Genomic DNA, 16,455 nt, shown 5'->3' with positions numbered 1-16,455 from the left:
AGGGGAGGGAGGAACAGGGAATTATTGTTTAATGGGCACAGGGTTTAGTTTTACAAGATGAAAAGAGTTCTAGAGTTGGGTAGTGGTGATGATTGCACATTATGAATGTGCTTAATACCACTGAATTGTACACTTCAAAATGGTTAGGATGGTAAATTTTATATTACATGTATTTTACCACAATTAAACAAAAAGTAAGGGAAAAGAAGCAAGGAAAATAATTTGGTGACGAAATGGAGTCAGAAGTGCGGCTAAAAACCATCCCATTATATTATGCCCCTACTGTATCTGAGCCACCCATACGATGTTCAACTTTTTCAGCAAATGAGGAAGGAGAATCTCTTGTTAGTGACACAATCAATGCTCCATTAGGAAAACACAAGTCAGGAAAGCTGCAACTATTCTTGATTCTAAAACTATTCTTGATTCTAAAACCACACACTCATTTATCTCCAAGGCTTTGTTATGAGGTAAGTTTCATGAGGCTGACTGAGTCTCATATCCATCTTCTGTAGAGTCTGTCCTATTGCTATTCATTTCACTAATTGCCAAGGAGTCATTATTCTTTATTTACCACTTGACCATGTTTGAAGCAGTAATGAAATTTTGTTACTTTTATCAACTGGTCTATTATTTCCTTTTGGGCATGAGCTACACACAACAAAAGAGAAGGCTGATTGAAAATCACATGCTAGACTAATTTGTTTTGATTGAAAAGATTTAGGAGAGAAGAGTGATAGATTAGTGTGATGTAACAGATGTTCAATCCTGTGATGACATTTAATTCAGTCGCTCACGTGTTCACTTGCAAGACTAATTCAAGTAGATGTGGACATGAGTGCCCTCCCATGAGTTTTTCAAGGGCCAGAAAGCTGTAACAAGATCTAATGATAAATGACACCATATCCCCATGTAGTGGAACAAAAATGTCTGGAAGATGGCCTTAAGCATGGTGATGTATGCCAGCCTGACTTAACATCTTCATTAATAATCTTCCTGAAGACAGAATAAAAGGATACTTAGGAAATTTGCTGGTGAAACTGTATTTGGAGATGAGCACCAGGGAAATGCTAGAAAATTGGGTTAGCTTGGAAGCTGGTACAGATTAAAAGACAATAGAGTAGATGATTGCAAACACAGCCTTTGTGGAAGAGTCATTATGCATGAAAGCATGTTTTGGCCAGAACCGCGGTGGAAATAGGGGCACCATGGTGGATTCCAGAGACTAAGAAAAGAAGAACAGCATAGAGAGGAGAGACTAACATTTATCAAACACCAACTCTGTGCCAGGCACTTTCCATGCCCTCATCTAAATCTCACATACCCCTCCACTATTTTGATCATGAATTCATAGGTCATAAAAAACTCAGGTTTCTTAGGGAGGCCACAGAGCTAGTGAGTAGCTGAGGAAGGCCTCACTTATGCCTGCAGACTCAAACCTAAGCTCTGCATACAGCCCTTGCTGCCTCCCAAGAATTTTCTCTGTGCTACCACATCCAAGCATCAGAAGCCTGAAATTTACAAGCTGATAAATACCTGGAATTATACTGAATTTGCCAAAATTACCTATAGTTGTTGCTCAAAAAAAACTAAGGTTGATTGTTCTAATTAGATGTTAGTTTCTAAACCCACATTGGAATTCTTGCATTTACCTCTGAATCTGGTTCTATTGCTAAAAATCTTGTGGTTTGAATAATGATTGAGTAGATTTAGGTCGTCTTGGGGGAGAACTCATTGTTCACTCTCAACCCTCATCTGCAATCAGTGTCTGAATCCTTTTGGTTTTTCCTACATAGTGTCACTTGTGCCCAATCATTCCTTTCATAGAAGCCACCCTATTTCAGAGTTTTACCATCCTTTTTCATTGTTTTTCTTCAAGTCATCCTCCTTACAGCTGCCAGAATGTGACCTGTTTATTTGACAAAATTTTTTACATTCTCCCTAATCACTGGTTGAAACAAAAATATTTATCAATCACCCACTAATATGCCAGGTTCTGTGGTGTGCACTGGGGATCCAAGGATAAATAAGACAAAATCTCTGCTCTCAAGGAGCTTGCTGGCCTCTGGTATGATCATGCTATCCACCTGCCCCAGTTCCCTGTTCCAAACCCCACAACGGATCCCTGTAAGACAAATTAAGTCAAATTCCTTAGCTTGACGTTCAATGCTTTATGAAATTGTCCCAAATATCACTTTGTTCCTAAATGTTTGAGATAACTCAATACCTTTACCTCTCCTTTCCAACAAAGCTCTTATAGTCCAAATAAATATCATGTTAGCAAGACTATAACTTACATAAATATTAAATTATTAATATATGATGGTGTCCTTTCCTTTTGCTAACCCTAATACCTTCCAAGGTGGTTTATTATCTGCAAACACCTCTTTCTCTATGTTCACTTATCAAACCAGCCCCTGTCTTTCAAAGTTCACTTCAAATACTCCACAAGGCCATCTGCAATCATTCCAGGCAAAGGCAAATGTGCTTTCTTCTGAGTCTTATACTCATTTTGAATTTTTCTCTGGCATTCCGGAAGTCCTGTGTCCTATTAAACTCAGTCCCATTGATGTCTATTAGAGTTCTTTATCTTTTACTACATTATAAGCTAGGTATGAGTAGGCAGCCGACCTTGTTCCTTTTGTATCCACTCAAATCTATGCCTCACACAGAGTTTCTATAAATTTGCTAAGTAAGAGAACAAATTACTTGATTTCATTCAACAAATATATTGAGCACTTACTATGTTCTAGGCACTGTGATATGTGCTTGGAATACATCAGTGAACAAAACAGACAAGAAACTAGTGGTGGTAGAGATGGTATATTAGTCCGTTTTCATGCTACTGATAAAGACATACCCAAGACTGGGCAATTTACCAAAGAAAGAGGTTCAATGGACTTACAGTTCCACATGGCTGGGGAAGCCTTACAATCATGGTGGAAGGCAAGGAGGAGCAAGTCACATCTTACATGGATGGTAGCAGGTGAAGAGAGAGAGCTTGTGCAGGAAACCTCCCCTTTATGAAACCATCAGATCTTGTGAGACTTATTATCACAAGAAGGGCATGGGAAAGACCTGCCCCCATGATTCAGTTACCTCCCACTGTTCCCCCCCATGACACAGAATTTAAGATGAGATTTGGGTGGGGACACAGCCAAACCATATCAGATGGGGAGAGACAGGCAATAAACAATAAACATAATAAATACTTTCATGCTGGAAAGAGTTGGATAGCATGTTAGAAGATAGTAAATGCATGGAGAGAAGAGCAGAATAGTGGGCATCTGAGAGTCCCCACTTTCAGATATAGTCAGGGCTGGTAAGGTAGTCATGGGGAAATGTGAGATTTGAGCAAAAGCTTGAAGGCAGGAGGGAGTTAGTCATTCCTGCCTGGGGAAGAGCATTCTAAAGAGAACAGCTGGAGCAAAGGCCTCAAGGGAGGAGCTAACAGCTGTGAGGTCAATGCACAGCGAGAGAGGGGAAGTATGAAGACATGAAGTCAGTGAGGTCATGAGACACCAGACCAGGCACAGCCTTCTGGCAATTACAAACATTTTGGTTTTTACTTTGAGAGAAATAAGGAGCCACTGCAAGGGTTTGGGAGGAGTAAAATTATGACTTACATTGAAATAAGGCCACTTTTGGTGTATGTTGACAACAGACTTTGGTAGGGGTAAGGGGAGAAACAGGTTGAAATGGTTTGTATCTGTGTCCCCAGCCAAATCTCATGTTCAATTGTAATCCCCAATAGTGGAGGTGAGGCCTGGTGGGAGGGGATTGGATTATGAGTGTGGTTTCTCATGAATGATTTGGCACCATCCCCTTGATGCTGTTCTTGTGGTAGTGAGTTCTTATGAGATCTGCTTGTTTAAAAGTGTGTAGCACCTTGCCCTCACTCTCTCTCTTGCTCCTGCTCTAGCCGTGTGAGGTGCCTACTCTCTTTGCCATCTGCCATGACTGTAAATTTCCTAAGGTCTCCCCAGAAGCCAAGCAGATGCCAGCATCATGCTTCCTGTACATCTTGTGGAACAATAAGCCAATTAAACCTCTTTATAAATTATCCAGTTGCAGGTATTTCTTTATAGCAATGTGAGAAGGAACTAATATACAAGTGGAAGGCTGTTTGGGACAATAGCACTCATCCAGGTAAGAGGTGATGGAGATGTGGATGGGGGAGGTAGCATCAGAGGTGGTTGATTTCTGGGTCTGCAGGATGATTCCATTGTTTCTGGTATGAGCACAGAAGGATGGAGTGCCCATTAATCGTGACGGGAAAGCTGCAGTGGAGCAGGTGTAGAGTTCAGTGTGGGACATGTGGAGTTTGAGGTGCCATTAGACACATGGCAGCACAGTGGGGATATCAAATAACCTAAGCAGTAACAACAATAAAAGGAAAACACAATGGTCATGTAAGTGCTGTAGTAATTGGTGGGTTAGAGGAAGAATGTTACATAAAGGGAAGGATCACACCAAGTCATCATTTTGATGGCCTTAGGTTTAAGATTAAGCATCACGTATGACAGAGACTCCTGTTTGTTCATCCCATTTTTCTGATTTCCTTTCTTCCTTACTCACAGAACCTCAGTTTTTAAATGGGCTTATGGCTATTCAGAAGAAAGACAGCATTTCTCAGCCTCCTTTATAACTAGGTGGGATCATTTGATGAAGTTCTGATCTACTAAATGTTAGCAGAAGTGTTGCGTGGGATTTCCAGGAAGGTTGTTTAAACCAAAGGTGGAGTCATCTGAGAGAGGTTTCTTTTGCTTTTCCCCATTCTATCTTCTCACTGGAATGCAGCAGGAATGGTTTGACCTCCAGCAGATACCTTGGGTGAGGAGGACAAGTGCCCTACCAAGAGATGACAGATTGTAGAACTAAAAGAATCCTGGGTCTCTAATGTTTTGTGGAGCTATTGTGCCTTCCTTGGACTTCCAACTGCCCAACTTTTATGAAGGTTAGGAATAAACTTCTATCTTGTTTAAATCACAAATACACCAAGTTGATTTAAAGTTAATTTGTCTCCCATGTCATCCTGAAAGAGCTAATGAGAGAGGGCCTTTTCAATGTCTTGATTTATAATAAGGCTTGGTTTGGGCATAGGAAATGATAATAAAGGATTACATAACTCCAAAAAAGAGTGAGGAGAATCTCCTTAATAAAGTTGGAAACACACATACACACACACACGACCTTATCTACTTATTTCTGAGACAAATCATTGATCTGCTTGGAAAGCCTTTCTTGGTTCTCTCAACAGAACTGACAGCTTCCTCTTCCAGACCTTCTACACCCACAGGAAACTTCTATCCTAGTGTCTACAACACCTTATAACAACTTTGTTCACTGGCCTTGCTCCCACATGTCAGTGGTCTGCTCATTCAGTGAATTTTGAAAAACTATACTTTCCTCACACTTTTCAGAGTTGATATCTAAACTTTCAAAAATCATAAATATAAGTGGTTACAAAAGATGTAATGTCCAGTGTATTAGTGAATGTTGGTAGTTTAATATAAACTTACTATATCACTCTTCTGGGTATTAAATGTGTCTAAGGGAACCTAATAACAATGGCATTTAATGCCCATTCAGCACCCATTGAAAAAAATCCACATGAATAATTTAACTTATTATTTAAGTCAGAAATATTAAATTCTTTTCCCTCTAGAGTTTGTATTTTCATTCTATTTCTCTGTAGATTTTTATTTTAATGTAATATAATTTTATATGTGAAAATCTTTTATTGTCATCCTATCATATTTCTCTGCAATGAAAGTCTAAATTGAAATTTGATTTTAAAAAAATTTCCTAACATCAGGCTCTAAGTACTAAATACTTTTCCAGCTTGAGTTTATAGTATAATCCTTACCAGAAACTCATTGGTCAAAACACATGTTTATTGCAAATTTGGAAAGAATAATTATGCTCAAGAATAATAATTTATTGGCCGTGTGTCTGTTTATGAGATGGATGGGGGAGTTATCATATCTCAGTTACAGGAGACTTCCTTTAATATTTTTAATTGCTCTTGATATGGTTTGGCTGTGTCCCCATCCAAATCTCATCTTGAATTGTAGTTCCTATAATCCATACATGTGACAGGAGGGACCCGGTGAGAGGTAATTGAATCATGGTGGTGGTCCCCCAACCTGTTCTCATGATAGTGAGTGAGTTCTCATGAGATCTGATGGCTTTATAAGGGGCTTTATCCCCTTGGCTTGGCACTTCTCCTTCCTGCCACCATGTGAAGAAGGATGTGTTTGCCTCTCCTTCTGCTATGATGGTAAGTTTCCTGAGGCCTCCCCAGCACTGTAGAACTGTGAGTCAATTAAACCTCTTTCCTTTATAAATTACCCAGTCTGGGGTATGTCCTTATAGCAACATGAGAATGGACTAATACAGTACTGAGATTTGGGTGCTGCCATACAGATACCTGAAAATGTGGAAGTGACTTTGGAACTGGGGAACAGGCAGATGTTAGAACAGTTTGGAGGGCTCAGAAGAAGACAGGAAATGTGGGAAAGTTTGGAACTTCCTAGAGACTTGTTGTATGGCTTTGCCCAAAATGCTGATAGTGATATGGACAATAAAGTCTAGGCTTAGGTGCTCTCATATGGAGATGAAGAACTTGTTGGGAACTGGAATAAAAGTGACTCTTGCTATGCTTTAGCAAAGAGACTGGTGGCATTTTGCCCCTGTTCTAGAGATCAGTGGAACTTTGAACTTGAGAGAGATGATTTAGGGTATCTGATAGAAGAAATTCCTAAATGGCAAAGCATTCAAAGGGAAGCAGAGCAAAAAAGTTTGGAAAATGTGTAGGCTGATGATGTAATAGAAAAGAAAAACCCATTTTCTGGGGAGAAATTCAAGCCAGCTGCAGAAATTTGCATAAGTAACAAGCCAAATGTTAATCACCAAGACAATGGGGTAAATGTCTCCAAGGCATGTCTAAGACCTCCATGGCAGCCCGAACCATCACAGGCCTGGAGGCCTAGGGAGGTAAAAATGGTTTCCTGGGCCAGGGCCTAGGGCCCCCAGCTCTGTGCAGCCTTGGGACATGGCGCCCTGCATCCCAGCTGTTTCAGCTCCAGCCGTGGCTAAAAGGGGCCAAAGTGTAGCTCAGGCCATTGCTTCAGAAGGTGCAACCCCAAGCCTTAGTGACTTCCACATGGTGTTGAGTTTGTGGGTGCACAGAAGTCAAGAATTGAGGTTTGAGAACCTCCACCTAGATTTCAAAGGATGTACAGAAATGCCTGTATGTCCAGGCATGAGTTTCTGTAGGGGCAGAACCCTCATGGAAAACCTCTGCTAGGGCAGTGCAGAAGAGAAATGTAGGATTGGAGCTCCCACACAGAGTCCCCACTGGTACACTGTCTAGTGGAGCTGTGAGAAGAGGGCCACTGTCTTCCAGACCCCAGAATGGTAGATCCACCTATAGCTTGCACCTGTGTACCTGGAAAAGCCACAGACACTCAATGCCATCCCATGAAAGCAGCTGGGAAGGGGGTTGTACCCTGCAAGGCCACAGGAATGGAGCTGCCCAAGGCATGGGAGCCCAGCATCAGGTGTGACCTAGATGTGAGACACAGAGTCAAAGGAGATCATTTTGGAACTTGAAGGTTTAATGACTGCCCTATTGGATTTTGGACTTGCATGGGGCCTGTAACCCTTTTGTTTTGGCCAATTTCTCCCATTTGGAATGGGTGTATTTACCCAATGCCTGTGACCCCATTGTATCTAGGAAGTAACTAACTTGCTTTTATTTTACAGGCTCCTAGGTAAAAGGGACTTGCTTTATCTCAGATGAGACTATGGACTTGGACTTTTGGGTTAATGCTGGAATGAGTTAAAACTTTGGGGAATGTTGGAAAGGCATGACTGTGTTTTGAAATGTGAGGACATGAGATTTGGGAGGGGCTGGGGGCAGAATGATATGTGGCTGTGTTCCTATCCAATTCTCAACTTGAATTGTAGTTCCCATAAGCCCTACATGTGATGGGAGGGGCCTGATGGGAGGTAACTGAATCATGGGGGTGGTCCCCCATGCTGTTCTCATGATAGTGCATGAGTTCTCATTACATCTGATGGTTTTATAAGGGTTTTTTTTCCCTTTTGCTCAGCACTTCTCCTTCCTGTCACCATGTGAAGAAGGACGTGTTTGCTTCCCCTTCTGCTATGATTGTAAGCTTCCTGAGGCCTCCCCAGCCCTGCAGAACTGTGAGTCAATTAAACCTCTCTCCTTTTTAAATTACCCAGTCTCAGATGTGTCCTTATAGCAGCGTTGAGTATGGACTAATATAGTTGCTTGCTATTTTTATACCTAGGTCAGTATGAAATATAACTTAGAATGAGTCAGACATGTGTCTGTCTTTTGTAAAGTGGAAACAGGGTGACTGTGAAAGTTAAGTGGAAAAGTGGAACTGGCTTCACTGCCCCGCAAGCACATTCCAGGCAAGTCAGTTTAAGGACCTAAAAATGGATTCTGTTAACACTATTTATGCCTGTGTACCCCTTGGAAAGTCTTCACATATCCCCATGGGCACACATACCCTGTGTGAAAACTGTGGCCCTACGTGACTGCTATTGAGGGCAGGGAGCGTATTGTATTCATCTTTGTGCCATGGTATGGGGCACAGTGCCACTTAAATAGGTAAATATTTGTTGAATGGGTACTGAGTAATTGATACCCCAAACCCCAAAGTTCAGTAGCTACAAAAGTTAAAAGAACTGTTAAAAGAAAAAGAGTCCTATTTGAATTTTTGGTCAATATCTGATAGAAGCCAGATTTAGGATCTTGTGTAGTGAAATCCTTAGACTTAGGTAAAATCCAAAGAAATTTTAAAATTATTACTGCAATGGGTTCCCTCCCACTACTCATTTGCAGACAACCAAGATTAGGTAAAGGACTCAAGAAATAACATGTATCAGCTTGCATTTGTCAATTCCAAGATGCAATGAGAAGATCATTCCAAGAATTTTTAATCATTGCTACTCCTTCTGCATGGTGTACTCTCTGTGTATTCTTAGTAAGACTGCAATAATAAGCAGGAGAAGCTATTAAATATTCCCTGGACATCAGAACTGTTCTCGGTATTGAGGATATCACAGTGAATGAGTTAGGTGACCAAAAATGTACTATCTGTCTGGGAAGTGGACATCTAATCAGGCAATAGCGATTCGAGTGACACATACTGTGATAAGGGAAGTAAGAGAGTACTGGAAAATCTCATAGGAGGGGCTTGTAAGATGGATTTTTAGAGAAAAAGAAGACTTTCAGGAGGGAAATATGTCCAAATTTAGATCAAAAGGATGAGCAAGTAAGAGAGGAATTAGAGAGTACAGACAACATACTCTATTGTATATTATATTTGAGTAAAATATACCATGGAATACTACATTTTATTCAAATAGGCAGAAGGAAGAGCATGGGTGTGAAGATCTGTAAGCAAGAGGGATACTTTATATCTTTATCTTGTTTTGTTTTTATCTATGAATTATCACTTTCTAATAGAGGACATATTTTACTTATTTTCTGTTTCCCTTAGAAAAAAGCAGACTTTTTTATTTGTTTTGTTCATCTTCTATACTCCTGCACCTAGCATGTATTCAGCACTCCGTATGTATCTGCTGAATGGATAAAGAATTGAGTGATATGTTTGGGAAACTGGAAGTTCAGCCTCAATGCATAGAAGCCTGGGAGGGGAATGGTGGGAAGTGAGGCTGGAAGGACTGGCAGGGGTCAGATCAGAACGGGGATGGTAAATTGTGTTAAGTCATTTGGACTCAATCCTGAGGCATGGTAGGGTTTTAAGCAGGAATCGATGTGGTCAGATTTGAGTTTCAGGAAACTCTTTCTGTCTTCATAGTGGAAAAAGGGCTGAAACCAGGCAAGGCTGAGAGTAGGTGGATGAGAGGATGATGCTGGTGTGCCCTGAACCTAGGGGAGAGGCAAAGGGTGGCGAGCAGGCTTGCATACACTGGGGTTTCTTAGTGACTTGCCAGAGATAAGAATGCTGTATCCTCCCTAGCAAAAAGCAGCTCTACTCCTACAGACTCATCTTTCACAGAGGCTCAGTGACTCGTATCAACCAAAGGTAGACTGAGAAAAAGAAGAAAAGCATCAGAAATGGTCATGGAGATCTAAACATGTGGTGAGAGGATACCATTTAATATCCTTTGAAACCCTAACCGGTTCTAGAATACCACATCAGGTACTATGTCTGTCTATCTTTAAGAAGTATCGGTTCAGTAATTTCACATTATCCTGATGACAATGTGTTCTAGTGGCTCAAACCCTTCCTACTTGCAGTTTTAAGAGTAATCTTCATCTTAAAGTTGAAGGAGTAAGCATCTACCTTTGTGACAACAAAACCTATTAGAACTTTAATTTGAAAAAAACAAAACCCTTCCAACTTCTAAGGCAAAACCTTCGTTTCCCTTTGTGCCTGAATTATCAAGTATTTTTCACCCTAAAAACAAAACAATCCCTTTGTTTGCTAATAGCACACCTGGTCTTTAATACACCACCAACACAGGTTTTCAAATTAAGTCAAGAGGGTATTTGGCAAACAGAATCTGGCAGAGCAGAGTTGCTATCATACAAGGCAGATTTAAACTGTTTTTTTCCTCTATTTGTTGGACACTTTCTTTGATTAAAATACTTCAAATGATGATGATAAACTGAATCTGGGGTACCAGGAACCAGAGTTAATTGAACATTTTAAATCCGGAGGATACAGAAAGAAAAACAACAGGAACATTGTCTGTGTTTTCATTTTTAATTGCTCATGAAACAAGGTGCAAGACTTTAGGAGATAATGGAGGCTGCTGAGTTCTTCCCTAACAAGCCAATGGTCTCCTTGGTAACACTATGAGAGCCCCAGCCTAGGAGGTCTCAGTGGAATAGAAGCTCCTTGAGCCCTAAACAAGACCTTGGCCCTTGAAGAAACGATAGCACTGCCTTGTTTAATGCCTGTTTGAAGATGTCTTTCTCTTGTTTGTTCTGCATCTGCCTAAGATAGCTGAGAGAAGGGAGCGGGGATGCCAATTGCTGTCTGCAGGGAAGGCTGGGGTTCAGATTGGGGATGGCAGAAACTTTATGGAACAGAAAGTCAAATTTGAGGCTCCTTTTATAATTTTAGCACTACTTTCCAAAAACACCTTTCATACTGTAGAAATTGTGAGCTTATGTTAGTCTTTGCAGATGTTTGTTTGAGGACGGGGTGGGGTCATAGGACCACGTGGAAGGAATATTCCTCCTGGCTGGGTCAACTTCATGTTTGTGATTCAGACTCATTAAGAATAACAAGTGGTTCAAAATGCTGACCCCCCTCTAAGTGCTTGTGATAAATGACTAAGAAAGCTGATTATAAACTTCTGCAAGACATTATAGAGTGTAATAAATGTTTATGGGACAATTTTTTAAAGTCATTATTTTAAGGATGCTGTGTCATGAGTAAATGATAGAGTCCATGTTGTTGGACTCTATTGAAAGGAGTTGAATTTAAAATTGAACTGAAAGTTATTCCTTTACAATTTATAATCACCAACGTTGTATGTAACTTAATGCTTACTTTGCACAGTTGCTAAGCCCACCATTAAATTTGTATGTGTGGGGTTGGAGGGTGAAGGAACAGAAAGTAAATTCTTGGTTCTATTTCTCACATGCTGTTTTTCCTCCCAGTCCACCCTGGACACCTGGACTGCTTCCAGTCTGATGAGAGAGGTGCCAAGTAGAAGTGCCTTCAGTGCCTTCATATTGAACTTGGTTGGCAGTTCAGCGAGTGAGTCCGGCCCAGAGAACAGACCATGGGAGGGAGCCCTCTGACCTGGCCTTCACTCCAGCTGCCCTGCTCTCTCTTTATCTCAGGGTAGAATAACAGGCTGGATGTTATGCAATGATCCTCTTATTTATTAGAACTAAAAGAGCACAGCCAACAGAAGGAGGGAGAGGAAGCCCTCTTCCATTTTATCTCATTTATAGTAAGTCTGGATTGTGGCAAAGTCACGCACAGGGTGTTCCCCAAGCCACATAATTCCTGGCACATCCTCTCTACGGTATTCTTGTTGACCAAATGTGCATGTGCGCATGCATAATTTTTGTGCGTATATGTACATATATTTTTTTCATTCATTACCATGGTTCTTAACATTTTCAGAATCTGCAACTTATTTTAAAATTTGATAAGAGTAACTTATAGACCCTCTCCCTAGGAAAATGTGCATGCAAACATCCTATGAAAATTTGCAAATAGCTCCCTGAAAGCCCATTTGTGTCTCAGCAAACGGGCCCTTGAGAGGCTAAAAGGCTACATTTCCAAAGATTTTTAAATACCATGTGTCGTTAATGGGTTTGCTCAGCTTATATATTATGTAACGTGATTTTTTCCTTTGATACTGAAAACTTGAAGATTTCTGCCAGTTCCTCATCTATAACTTAATGCAGAGTAAAGATTTCTTGATCCAGGTCATGTCCTGTACAACTAATCTGAAGTTACTACAAAAGAGAGCGTATGCACTGAATCATGATATGCACAACACACTGATCAGAGACGGAGCTGTAGATGGCAGGACCATACTCAGCTAAAGGCCACCGGACATTCCATTTTCAGTTATTCTGGAGTTGTGGAATTTAATCCCAAAAGTACATCAGCTCATCCTGACTCTAATGCCCTCTTTTCATCTCAGCTATTAATGTTACTCACACTTTAAGGCCCAGTTTATAGCATTCTTTTTCTATGTTCTTTTTTTTCCCGCTGCAACTATCTGCAGAATCAGTTTCTCCTTCCCCCATCTTCCCATCACATTTGTTTGTAGCTAAATACTTTAAAGTATCTATCAAGCCTCTCACACTTTAGATCACTTATCTTTTCTTTCCTTTGCTTTTTCTTTGAGACGGAGTCTCCCTCTGTTGCCCAGGCTGGAGTGCAGTGGCGCCATCTTGGCTCACTTCAACCTCTGCCTCCAGGGTTCAAGTGATTCTCCTGTCTCAGCCTCCCAAGTAGCTGGGATTACAAGCATGTGCCACGATGCCCAGCTAATTTTTGTATTTTTAGTAGAGACGGGGTTTCACCGTGTTGGCCAGGCTGTCCAACTACTGACCTCAAGTGATCCGCCTGCCTCAGCCTCCCAAAGTGCTGAGATTACAGGTGTGAACCACTGCACCAGGCCTCGATCACTTTCTAGAACCCTCTTGTCTGCCTTACTACAATAGGAGCATTGTAGGAGAGCTGTTAGTTTCTGGTACACGGTAGGTGATCAATATGAATTTCAGAGGCAGGATGCATAGTTCTTAGGCACTTTGGCTCTGGAAACCAAAAAGTTGAGTTCTAATTCCAGTTCTATTAATTATCTGTTTATTTTCAGGAAAAACACTTAAATTTCCCAAGTATCAATTCTTCTTTCTGTGGAAAATAGGTATGATAATAGTACTCACCTCACTGGGCTATTGTGAAGATTAATAATATACTACATCAAAGGCATTTGGCACAGTGTTTGGGTCATAGTAAGTGTTGAATAAAGGTTAGTTAAACAGTTTGTTGAACTGAACTTTTTAAAAGAAATTTTTTTCATCTTTTTGATGTTCCTTAGTATAGTTAATAGTGATGGTATATAGCCAAAAATAAAGGGATCACAATTTTTTGACAAAATTGAAGTTTCCTATTATTTTCAAGTCCTTTTAAACAATTTTTATTTTCAGTATTGACAAGCACCAATTTGGCTAAGAAAAGTTTCAGCTTTTTTTCTAGCCAGCTATAGGACACTGAAGATATCTGTATGGTACTATGTGATATTGCTTTGCCTTCAACTTTGTCCCTAAATCTTAAAAGACATGGATCTATAGCCTCCAAGAGATCCTAAGACCAGTTGAACAGGTGACTGATATAGGTAGTATCCTGAATGTGGTCCCTAGACCTATACCCCAATTTCTCCCTAGTCATAATCAAAGAGATCCTTCTCGGTCGGGCATGGTAGCTCATGCCTGTAGTCCCAGGTGGCTCATGCCAGTAATCCTAGTGTTTTGGTAGGCTGAGGTGGGATGATCACTTGAGGCCAGGAGTTCGAGACTAGCCTGGGCAACATAGTGAGACCTTGTCCCTATGAAAAACAGAATTAGTCAGGTGTGGCGGCACGTGCCTGTAGTCTGAGCTACTAGGGAGGCTGAGGTGGAGGGATTGTTTGAGCTCAGGAATTCCAGGCTGCAGTGAGCTATGATTGCACTATTGCACTCCAGCCTGGGTGAGAAAGCAAGACCCTGTTTCTGAAAACACACACACACACACACACACACACACACACACACACACTTGGATCATTCTCTCTTCTCTTTCCTTACAGGGACAAGGCCAGAGAATTAGAGAATAAATTTACTGATGGGAAAAGAAAAACAGCGGCTCACTTTATTCTAGTAAGGTCTTTGGATACAAAGAACAGCACAAGTATTTACTCTTTAGAGATTTTAAAAAACAATTGTATCGACATGAGCTAATTCCTCAAACCTCTTTCAAACTGGGATTAAGTTTGCTTGGATTTTGCTCATTTTGAGCATCTGAGTTTGAACAAATTTTTGAGGGCAGAGATTGTGTTTCATTCGTCTTTGAACTTCTAGGACCCTAAAACAAGGCTTTCTCCATGGGCAAGATTCAGGCTTGAGCACCGGGCCTAAGGCGATTGACCATACTGTGGCTGGCTCCAGGTTGGGCTCCCTTACCTGATATAGGTTTGCAAGATGGTGGTTAGTTTTTATCAAAAATGGCTGGTTCACCCCTGGGTGGTCCACATCGTGTGCTGCTGCAGCCAGCAGTCCAAGCATGATGTCCAGAGGCGTGAGGAAGCTGGCAAGCTGTTAAAAAAACAAATTGGGAGATTGATTGGTGTATTTTCACAAATAGGCTCATAATCATTTTGGCTAAATCAAACACAATGAATCATCATGGCATTGTTTAAGCCTATCAGCCAGACCTTTACCCTTTGAAGCATTAAATGAGGTGATAGTCACATGAAATCACAGGCAAAAAGGAAAGGACTGTGTGGAAAATATTGGGTAAACTCAAATTGTGTAGATTATTCTGGTATCCCCTTCTTCCTATTCCACTCTGTTTTGTTTTGTTGTTGTGATGGCATTGCTGGTTGGCAACAGTGCTGTTGGGTGGATAGGTAGAAGACAGGGCCTGAAATCAGCCTTGCTCCTAGAGAAATGTGTAAATGAAGAAAAAAGTTGGTCACATGATGGACCTACTTAAAAATCATTTGTGTATTTCAACTGTCTAATATATCTTTGCCACTTTGAAAGAAGTGGGCCGACTTGCAAGATCTGCATTTTTTTCAATGTGTAATAAATAGTGGGAGAATGTATGAGAATCTGTGATTTTCTGGTTAGCTAGGAAAATAAGCAGAGACACGGGAATCCAATACTAACTTTAAAAATACAACTGTATGACATAGTACAATGTTTAGACTACTTGGAAATTAAAAAACAGAGCCATTAATGTCCTTGGGATATGTTGCAGGGATGAGGCACCCACCCAGCTTTGCCCTGAGAGTGCCTGTTTGACATCTGAATATTTAGTTGTTGCTGTCAAAGCATCCGCATATGTAGGGGGATGTTAAAAACAGATTGAACTCAACAGTCTTAGAATATAATTTTCCAGAAACCTTAAGAAAACTCATCCTGTACCTTGTACCAACAGACTTTCAGTCTAAGGACTGCCTGAATGTTGAGTATTGAGCATTATTACAATGTTTTTAATTTTTAACTTTGGGTTGGTTTATTGCATCAGAACATGCTTGCTAAGAGGTCTTTGACATTCACAAGTTTTCTTGGGCCCTGAATCGGGATATCCAGTTGGTTCAGTAGGAAATAGAACATCAGACTTGAGGAGCTTTGATTCCATTTGTTGATCAAAACTCATGCAGTAGGAGACTTTTCCCAACAAAGTTCAATGCTGGTGCTGTTTGTGGCAAAGATCTAAGGCACGGAGCTAGTTCTATGGACTGTTGAAGGTATCTAAGATGTAGATTGCCATAGAGAGGAAGTTTTTTTTTTTTTTTTTGTCCAAATACAGCCTCAAAAATATACAAAATATGAAAGAAAACCTCAGATGAGTCTCATCCTTTTTCGTGAACATTGTAAGATTTTCAGAGCTGATACTGGAACCTTAATATCAATAATTTGTGTTCACATTGTTAATGACACATAACATAGTTACTCAGATATGTTGGGTAACTTGGGCCTAGCAGGTAGTTTCCTTGGCATTTCCAGGTGGCTGAGGAGGCAGCTGGGTCTTGTCTTACCTTTGGCTCTTTCAGGTAGCAGTGCATGGCCTGGGTGACGTCGGCTGCGTGAACAGCATTGTGATACGGGTTTTGGCTGTGGTAATCTTCTTGAACCATGACTGGGAGGTAAACAGATAACTCAATCAACTAAAACCCAAATAGGAGTGGTATACTAGCTTA

General features: G+C 40.7%; 1 protein-coding gene across 1 annotated transcript in view; it reads right to left on the bottom strand.

Annotated features, from left to right (window-relative positions):
* Positions 1-16,455, bottom strand: part of PDE7B (phosphodiesterase 7B) — a 343,874-nt gene that overhangs the window by 25,106 nt on the left and 302,313 nt on the right. Inside the window, exons 7-8 of the mRNA NM_018945.4 lie at positions 16,294-16,394; positions 14,711-14,842 (exon numbers count right to left, since the gene is read on the bottom strand). Of these exons, the coding sequence (NP_061818.1) occupies positions 14,711-14,842; positions 16,294-16,394 (233 nt within the window). The remainder of the gene's footprint in view (positions 1-14,710; positions 14,843-16,293; positions 16,395-16,455) is intronic.

Source organism: Homo sapiens, chromosome 6, assembly GCF_000001405.40.
Source record: "Homo sapiens chromosome 6, GRCh38.p14 Primary Assembly".
NCBI lineage: Eukaryota > Metazoa > Chordata > Mammalia > Primates > Hominidae > Homo > Homo sapiens.
The sequence above is the reverse complement of the archived record's forward strand: the minus strand, read 5'-3'. Positions and strand labels throughout refer to the sequence as shown.